Source organism: Homo sapiens, chromosome 18, assembly GCF_000001405.40.
Source record: "Homo sapiens chromosome 18, GRCh38.p14 Primary Assembly".
NCBI lineage: Eukaryota > Metazoa > Chordata > Mammalia > Primates > Hominidae > Homo > Homo sapiens.
Genome location: NC_000018.10, coordinates 57,822,583 through 57,832,776, shown reverse-complemented (window position 1 = coordinate 57,832,776; position 10,194 = coordinate 57,822,583). Strand labels below are relative to the sequence as shown.

Genomic DNA, 10,194 nt, shown 5'->3' with positions numbered 1-10,194 from the left:
AAAGCTGGCTTGTGGTGATATAGGAGGTAAAAAGGAATTACTTAGGGAGATAGCAAGGGCATGGGAGTCCTTGGTAGGGCTTTCCTTTTAATGAAAAGCAGCCCCAAATAATTTTCTAACAAAGAGCAGCTGATAAAAGTTGAGCTGCAGACATAGACAAGCAAGCTGGCAGCTTGCTGCACAGATGAATGCCAGCAGGAACTAAGGACTAGACCTTTTCAAGATGGTGGCTCCATCTTGCCTTCTCTGCCAGCCACGTGTACGGTAAGAAGCAGATAATATGGCCCCCATCAACTGGAAAGTCCATTTGCATAAGAAGATTAGGGTAGGGCGACAAGCCTTCCCAGAGAGCTTTGTAAATGTCATACATGATGGAACCAATCTGTGAGGCCTAGTAAATCAGACAACACCTCCTCAAACTGGACTATAAAACTCGGTGCGTTCTCCACCAGCTGGTCCTTTCTGCTCAGAGACTCCTTCTGAGAGGTGAAGCCAGCTGGACTTCCTGGGTCGAGTGGGGACTTGGAGAACTTTTCTGTCTTAGAAGAGGATTGTAAAATGCACCAATCAGCATTCTGTAGCTAGTAAGAGGATTGTAAAATACACCAATCAGTGCTCTGTAAAAATGCACCAATCAGCACTCTGTAGTGAGCAAGAGGATTGTAAAATGCACCAATCAGTGCTCTGTAAAATGCAACCATCGGCAGGAGTCTAAAAGTAGGCAATCGCGGGGAGGATTGAAAAAAGGGCACTCTGACAGGACAGAAACAGAACATGGGAGGGGACAAATAAGGGAATAAAAGCTGGCCACCCCCCAGCCAGCAGCAGTAACCCGCCTCGGGTCCCCATCAACGCTGTGGATGCTTTGTTCTTTAGCTCTTCACAATAAATCTTGCTGCTGTTCACTCTTTGGGTCCGTGCCATCTTCAAGAGTTCTAACACTGCAAAGGTCCATGGCTCCATTCTTGAAGTCAGCGAGACCACAAACCCACTGGCAGGAACCAACTCCAGACACACTTCCTTTAAGAGGAAGCTGTTTTTCTTTCTCTTCTCTTCTAACTGTTAAACCTCCACCCCTAAACTCCTCCTGTGTGTCTGTGTCCTAAATTACTCTGGTACCCGACAATGAACCCCGGGTTTTTTTGTTTTGTTTTGTTTTGTTTGAGATGGAATTTCGCTCTTGTTTCCCAGGTTGGAGTTCAATGGTGCAATCTCGGCTCACCGCAGCCTCAGCCTTCCAAGTTCAAGTGATTCTCTTGCCTCAGCCTCACAAGTAGCTGGGAATACAGGCATGCGCCGCCACACCAGGCTAATTTTGTATTTTTAGTAGAGACGGAGTTTCTCCATGTTGGTCAGGCTGGTCTCAAACTCCCAACCTTAGGTGATCCACTCGCTTTGGCCTCCCAAAGTGCTGGGATTACAGGTGTGAGCCACCATGCCCGGCCGAACCCCGGGTTTATACCCCAGACAACGTAGCCGCTTCAGTGGCGTTTGCTTCATCCTCTTGACCCTAGACCCTCCTGATCTACTGCAAGATTTGCCATATGCAGGGGAATTGTGGGTAATCCTGGGAAGTTTAATTTGGGAGTAAATTACTTACCTGAACATGTCACTCCCCATCTCAAATCCCCCACTCCGAGCAAAATCAAAAGGGGTTTTTTTGTTGTTTTTGAGAGAGAGTCTCACTCTGTTGCCCAGGCTAGAGTGCAATGGCACTATCTCGGTTCACTGCAACCTCTGCCTCCTGGGTTCAAGCGATTCTCGTGGCTTGGCCTCCCAAGTAGCTGGGATTACAGGCATGTGCCACCATGCCCGGCTAATTTTTGTATTTTTAGTAGAGACAGGGTTTCACCATGTTGGGCAGGCTGGTTTCGAACTCCTGACCTCAGGTGATCCACCCACCTTGGCCTCCCAATGTGCTGGGATTACAGGCGTGAGCCACCGCGCCTGGCCCAAAAGTTGTTATCTTGACTACAAAGCCAGTGTCATCTAGCCCCTGCCCACTGTCTCCAACCTCATCCCACGTGGCCCTGCCCCTTCTCCACTCTGCGGCCACCACGCTGCCCCGGTGGCTACTTCTAAAGCACACAAGCATGTTTCTGCCTGAGGAAGAAGTTTACACCTGCTGGCCCTACTACCTACACTGCCTTCCCCCAAATATGAATAAGACGGGTAGCCTCCCTTCTTTCAAGTTTCTGCTCAAATGTCACCTCTATCAAGATTCAATCCCTGCCATTTTAAAACGGTGCTACTCCAAGTGAGGCAAACAGACCGGAGTTTGTCTGTGAACAGTTTGCTGCCATTTGGCCATGAGTTGAGCCCAGAAATTTTGAAGGTGCACATCTAGAATTTGCTGCAATATCCAAGACAGTGACTTGTCTCACTGACCGGGGTATAGATGAGTTTGGGGGGCTTTGAATTCAGGTGCTGAGTCATGTAGAGTGCACTACATCCTAGTCGTGCATGTTAGGACCACACATACATTTTCATAATTTATTACATTATCGTAATTTTAGCCCTTAATTAGGCTTGCCTTTCAATTTATAGTTTAGCATTATTAGTTGTAAAGACAATTTTGTATTCTGTATTTTGTTTTTGCTTTTTTTTTTTTTTTTTGAGATGAAATCTCACTCTCGTCCAGGCTGGAGTGCAGTGGCACAATCTTGGCTAACTGCAACCTCCGACTCCCTGGTTCAAGTGATTCTCCTGCCTCAGCCTCCCGAGTAGCTGGGATTACGGGCACAGGCCACCACGCCCGGCTAATTTTTGTGTTTTTAGTAGAGACGGGGTTTCGCCATGTTGAGCAGGCTGGTCTCAAACTCCTGGCATCAGGTGATCCGCCCGTCTCGGCCTCCCAAAGTGTTGGGACTACAGGTGTGAGCCACTGTGCCTGGTTTTCTGTATTTTTTACCTTAATTTACTGATGGTGACACAAGATTTACTGGACTATTTTTGTCAAGAAAAGACTTGTTTTTTTCCAAAAATAGCAGTGATAGTCAACCAAATAGTAACAACAGATGTTATTTCCAATAGCATAAAAGCAAAATCATATATACTAATTTACTCAGATATATATTCACTTATGTATTAATGTTGGGTTTGTAGCGATCATTGATGGCAAATTGCTAAAAACTATGATGTGTTATTTATAGAGCTGTACTGGCTAATTATGCTTTGAAACCATCAAAACTTAAGCAGCATTTACATAGAAAGCGTGAAAAGTTCAATACCAAAATAATCCTTTTGCTGGGTGCGGTGGCTCACTCCTGTGATCCTAGCACTTTGGGAGGCAGAAGCGGGAGGATCACCTGAACGCAGGAGTTTGAGAGCAGCCTGGGAAACATAATGAGACCTCATCTCTTTTTAAAACGAAAAAAAAATCCTCTTAAGGAAAGACTAACAAATTAAAAAGCTGATGGAAGCAGTCACTTGATATTTCATTTACAAACATTAGTAATTTGCAGGTATCTTATGAAGCAGCACTTTGGGTTGCTAAGATTGAAAAGTACAGTTGCTGAGACATTAGTAAAAGATTGAAGAAAGGATGTTTGAGGCCGGGCTCGGTGGCTCATGCCTGTAATCTCAGCACTTTGGGAGGCTGAGGTGGGCGGATCACTTGAGGTCAGGAGTTTGAGACCAGCTCAGCTAACATGGTGAAACCCCGTGTCTACTAAAAATACAAAAATTAGCTGGGTGTGGTGGTGGGCGCATGTAATCCCAACTACTTGGGAGGCTGAGGCAGGAGAATTGCTTGAACCTGGGAGGCAGAGATAGCAGTGAGCCAATATCGTGCCACTGCACTCCAGCCTGGGCGACAGCAAGACTCTGTCTCAAAAAAAAAAAAAAAAAAAATTTTATTTGGAAATGGGTAAATCTTTGACAGAGAAGGTAGCTCAGGTACCATTTTCCTATGATATTATAGCTCAGTGTATTCAGGAACTACAGAAACCAACCAACTGAATAAATTAAGCTAGTATTTTCTTTGCAACTTGACTAATGTACACATATTGCCAATGGCAGTCTTTTTTTTTTTTTTTTTTTTTTTGAGACAGGGTCTTGCTCTGTTGCCCAGGCTGGAATGCAGCAATGCACTCATGGCTCACTGCAGCCTCAACTTCTCCCACCTCAGCCTCCTGAGTAACCAGGGCTAAGGTGTGTGCCACCACACCTGGCTAATTTTTTGTATTTTTTGTTTTTTCTTGTAGAAACAGGGTTTCGCCATGTGGTCCAGGCTGGTCTCAAACTCCTGGGCGCAAGCAATCTACCTGCCTTGGCCTCCCAAAATGAGGGGATTACAGGAGTGAGCCACCACATATGGCTGCCAATGGCAGTTTTTAAAGTATATGTGTGATTTGAAGATGATGCTATCAAATAAATAATTATTTCTTTCAACTTAATTGCCTATGGACACAAGTAGCTCTGAGCTGTTTAAAACTCTGAAGGATTATATTGGTTTAAGTGTAGTTTGCACTTTAAGCTTCCTGTCTGGGTGAGTTCTGATGGTGTAGCCGCAATGACAGGAAAGCTTTCTAGAATAGATACACAGATTAAGGATTTTACACTGGAATATAAACCAACATACTGCTTCCTCCATAACATCTTACTACAAAAAAAAAGTCAATGTGATGAGCATTATAGTAAGAATTGTGAATTAAATAAAAGCTAATGTGTTAAAATTAAGATAATTATATTTATGTAACAATATGAAAGCTGATTATATGTAACACTGCATGTTGAGGTACGATGTTTGTCAAAAGGAGGCCATCCATCAAGAATGTTTGAACTGTGAAACAAACTCTGCGCCTCTGAAAGATTAAAAAATAGGTTGATTCCACCTTTTTTTTGAGACGGAGTCTCACTCTGTCTCCAGGCTGGAGTGCAGTGGTGCGATCTCGGATCACTACAACCTCCAACTCCCAGGTTCCGGCAATTCTCCTGACTCACTTCCCCAGTGGCTGGGATTACAGGCGCACAGCACCATGCCCAGCTAATTTGTATTTTTGGTAGAGATGGGGTTTCACCATGTCGGCCAGGCTGGTATCGAACTCCTGACCTCAAGTGATCCTCTCGCCTCGGCCCCCCAAAGTGCTTGGATTACAGATGTGAGCCACTGCACCCAGCCTTGGTTCCACCTTTTTAAAGATGTAAATAATGTAAAAACAATCTTGCTGATTTGTTTGATATCATCAGTATTTTGAGTAATCTTAATATTTCCATGCAAGGAAGGAGTACAATATATTTTTCAAAAGATTAAAAGGAAAAAGTAGAAGTTAGAAACTTGCCAGTACTGTTCCTTCAGATGCTATGATTATAGATTGTCATACATGTTCCATAATTATCAATAAAATAGGTGATAATCTTGATATTGCACATCTGTCAAAACTTACCACCACATGTCTTATGAATTTGACAAAATGTTTTGAATTTTGTTTTCCATCAAAAGAAGATACACAAATAGGAAATTCTTAGATCTGGAATCTATTTTTTCCATCACAAAATAGCTTAAATTGACCTGTAATTTTACAGGAGAAATTGTTGGGACTGCCTACTGACGAATGATTAAAGATACATTTTGAAAATACAGCATCACTTGCTTCCTTTTGCAGAAAAGTGAAAAAATTAATATCCTGGGCTTAATCCAATGCTTCAAAATTTCTTCTTCTATTTCTATCACCTTGCGATTTTGGTTTCTCTGTTATAAATGATTTTAAAGCCAAACAGAAATAGTTTAGAACCATATTATGCTCTGTACCCAGAGGTCAGGAGTTCAAAACCAGCCTGGCCAACATGGTGAAACCCCATCTCTACTAAAAAATACAAAAATTAGCTGGGCATGGCTGTGCATACCTGTCGTCCCAGCTACTTGGGAAGCTGAGACAAGAGAATTGCTTGGACCAGGGAGGCGGAGGATGCAGTGAGCCAAGATTGCACCATCGCACTCAAGCCTGGGCGACAGAGTGAGACTTCATCTCTCAAAAAAAAAAAAAAAAAAAAAGTCCAAAACAGATTGAAAAAAGAAAAACTGGTCCTCACCTCGGGTAATTTGAGAAGCACTGATTTAAAATAGTAGCTCTCGATCCTGCTTTATTTCTCTTCATGGCTTTTACTAACACCTCAGATTATAAACCTCTGCCTGTTTGGTCATTTGTTTCTTGCCCATCTCTTAGACTAGGGTGCAGCTCAGTGGGAATAGGAGCCTCCTCATTCACCATTATACTTCTAGATCCTCAGCAGTTGCTGTCGCATGGTAGATGGTCTGTATTTGTTTTCATGGAGAAAGGACTCAGTTCTCAGGCATAACAAGTGAGGTGAATGAGTTCACTTGGCTAAAGTTGCCCAGGATTTCCTCAGTGTCCAGATGCAGTCTCCTTATCTAATATTAAACATGTCTGTTACCAAATATTCTCTATTAATTAGCACTGTTGATACAGCTCTGTGATCACAGCACTTGTCCTGATTTTCTGAGTCCCAGGAATCCTGACACCTAAGCATACTCACTAATAATTGAATGAGCCATTGAATGAGCCATGGACCTGCTATTGAGAATTGGGGACACACAAATAAATTTTAGATATTTTCCTTTTTTTTTTTTTTTGAGATAGAGTCTCACTGTCTCCCAGGCTGGAGTGCAGTGGCATTATTTTGGCTCACTGCAACCTCCACTTCCTGGGTTCAAGCGATTCTCCTGCCTCAGACTTCCAAGTAGCTGGGATTACAGGCACCCACCACCACGTCCAGCTAATTTTTGTATTTTTAGTAGAGATGGGGTTTCATCCTGTTGGCCAGGCTTGTCTCAAACTCCTGATCTCAGGTGACCCACCCACCTGGGCCTCCCAAAGTGCTGGGATTACAGGCGTGAGCCACCACGCCAGGCCCATTTTAGATATTTTCATCCAAATGATCACAATTTTGAACTTTTTTTTTTGTCACAAAAGTGGTAAGTTTTAGTTATCTAGAAAACGAATCAATATAAATGTTTTCATGCCCTGATGAGGGGCTCAATTAATGAGGTCACAAGAAGTCTCTCTCTTGCATGCATTTAGATTATGAAAAAAACCAAGAGGATGAGACTTTTCTTTTTTGAGACACAGTCTCTCTCTGACACCCAGGCTGGAGTGCAGTAGCATGATCACAGCTCACTGCAGCCTTGATCACCTGGGCTCAAGTGATTCTTCCACTTCAGCCTCCCAAATAGCTGGGACTACAGGCACTTGCTACCACACCTGGCTATTTATTTTATTTTATTTTATTTTAAGAGATGGGATCTCACCATGTTGCCCAGGCTGGTCTGGAACTCTCGGATTCAAGCGATCCTCTCGCTTTGGTCTCCCAAATTTCTGGGATTATAGGCATGAGCCACCACTCCTAGCTGAGACTTTTCAAACAAAACTTCAGACTTTTCAAACAGAACTGGCCAGGCGCGGTGGCTAATGGCAAGGTGTGGTGGCTCACGCTTGTAATCGCAACACTCTGGGAGGCCGAGACGGGCGGATCCCTTGAAGTCAGGAGTTCGAGACCAGCCTGGCCAACATGGTGAAACCCTGTCTCTACTAAAAATACAAAAATTAGCTGGGCATGATGGCACGTGCCTGTAATCCCAGCTACTTGGGAGGCTGAGGCAGGAGAATCGCTTGAACCAGGGAGTCGGAGGTTGTGGTGATCTGAGATTGCGCCACTGCATTTCAGCCTGGCAACAGAGTGAGACTCCATCAAAAGAAAGAAAGAAGGAAGGAAGGAAGGAAGGAAGGAAGGAAGGAAGGAAGGAAGGAAGGAAGCAAGCAAGCCCCAAGGAGGGATGCAGAGCAAGATGGCCGAAGAGAAGCCTCCAGCAATTGTTCTGTTCATAGGAACGCCACATTTGCCAACTATCTACACTAAAGAGCACCTTCATAAGAACCAAAAATCAGGTTAGCAATCACAATACGTAGTTTTAAATTCATATCACTGACAGAGGCACTGAAGAGGGTAGAAAGGAAAGTCTTGAATCTCTGATGCCACCCCTCTCCCATCCTCTAGTAGTGGCTACTTAGTGCAGAGAGAGAAACTGTGTGCTTGTGGGAAGAGGAGTGCAGAGGCTGGGGCTTTGCATTAGAACTCAGTGCTGCCAGCACAGGGCAGAACTCAGCTGGTGCCTATGGAGGGAGCATTTAAACCAGCCTTAGCCAGAGGGACATTGCCCATACCAGTGGCTGGAATTTGAGTTTTGGTAAGCCTTGCCACCATGGGCTAAATGGCCCTGGGGTCCTAAATAAACTTAAAAGGCTGTCTAGGCCACAAAGGCTGCAAATCCCAGGCAAGTCCTAGTGCTGCGCTGGGCTTGGAGCCAGGGTACTGTGGGGGCACACAACCTAGTGAGACACTAGTCACGGGTGCTAAGGGAGTACTCCCCCAATCCCAGGCAGCACAGCTTGCAGCAATGAAAGTGACTCCTTCCTTCTGCTTGAATAGAGGAGAGGGAAGAGTAAAGATGACTTTGTTTTGCACCTTGGATACGAGCTCAGCTGCAGGATAGGGCACTGGGCAGAGTCGGGAGGCCCCTATTCCAGGCACTAGCTCCTGGATGACATTTCTAGACACACCTGGGCCAGAAGGGAATCCGCTGCCTTGAAGGGGAGGACCCAGTCCTGGCAGGATCCATCACCTGCTGACTAAAGAGCCCTTGAGCCCTGAATAATCAGCAGTGGTAGCCAGGTAGGATATGCTGTGGGCCCCGGGTGAGAAACTCTGAGATGTGCTGGCTTCAGATGTGACGCAGCATATTCCCAGCTGTAGTGGCTCTGAGGAGAGACTCCTTCTGCTTGAGAAAAGAAGAATAAAGGGGACTTGGTCCTGCAGCTTAGGTATCAGGCCTGCCACAGTGGAGAAGAGCACCAGGCAGCCTCTGGGGGTCCTCAATTCCAGGCCGTGGCTCTTGGACTGCACTTCTGGACCTAACCTGGCCCAGAGAGAAGCCCACTGCCCTGAAGGGTGAGTCCCAGGCCTGGCAGCATTCACCACAAGCTGACTGAAGAGCCCTTGGGCCTTAAGGGCACATTGGTGGTGTCCTGGCAGTCAGTCACCTTCCCTATGCACCTGTGGGAGTGGTGAGTGGTGGACACGGGGAGAGACTCCTCTGCCTGGGGAAAGGGGAGGGAAGAGTGGGAAGAGCTTTTTTATTTTTTTTTTATTTTTATTTTTTTTGTGGTTTCAGTGCTAGCTTAGCTGCAGTAGAATAGAGCACCAGATAGATTCCTAAGGTTTCCAACTCCAGGCCCTAGCTCCTGGATAGCATCTCTGGACCCACTCAGGGGATTTGCCACCCCGAAGGGAATGATACAAGGCTGGCTGGCTTCACCATCAGCTGATTAGAGAACTCTAGGGCCTTGAGCGAACGTAGGTCGTGGTTACAGCAAGCCTTGGGCAAGACCCAGTTCTGTGCTGGCTTTTGATCTGACCCAGTACCGTCCCAGTGGTGGTGGCCACAGGGGTGCTTGTGTCACCCCTCCCCTAGCTCCAAGCAGCTCAGCACAGAGAGACAGACTGTTTGTTTGGGAGAAAATAAGGGCAGAGAACAAGAGTCTTTGTCTGGTAATCTAGAGAATTCTTCTGGATCTTATCCAAGACACCAAGGCTTCTATAACTCTGCAAGAACCGTAGTGTTACTGGGCTTGGGGTAGCACCTAATGCAGATACAGCTGCAGTGACCACAAATGTAGATCACAACACCCAAGTCCTTTAGAATACCTGTAAAGCCTTCCTAAGAATGATGAATATAAAGAAACCCAAACTGCAAAGACTACAATAAATATCTAACTCTTCTATGCCTAGACACCAACAAACATACACAAGCATCAAGACCATCCAGGAAAAAGTGACCTCACCAAACAAACTAAATAAGGCACCGGGGCTAATCTTGGAGAGACAGAAATATGTGACCTTTCAGACGGATAATTGAAAATAGCTGTTTTGAAGAAACTCAAAGAAATTCAAGATCACACAGAGAATGAATTCAGAATCTTATCAGATAAATTTAACAAAGGAATTGAAATGATTAAAAAGAATCAAGCAGAAATGATGCCCCAGGAAATAAGTGTTCACTGAGATGAGAAAAGTGTGAAAACACTGAAGGGTTAGAAGAAAAGATAATCCAGATCTGTTGATCCCAACCTTGGCTGCACACTAGAATTACTTGAATTCTAATGTGAGCAGTTGTAA

General features: G+C 44.9%; 1 annotated feature.

Moving 5' to 3' along the window:
* Positions 9,533-9,733: a silencer, noted in NCBI's record as "peak3165 fragment used in MPRA reporter construct". NCBI's record gives its function as "represses an SCP1 promoter by STARR-seq MPRAs in K562 erythroleukemia cells {active_cell/tissue: K562}" and the evidence as "EXISTENCE:reporter gene assay evidence [ECO:0000049][PMID:32103011]".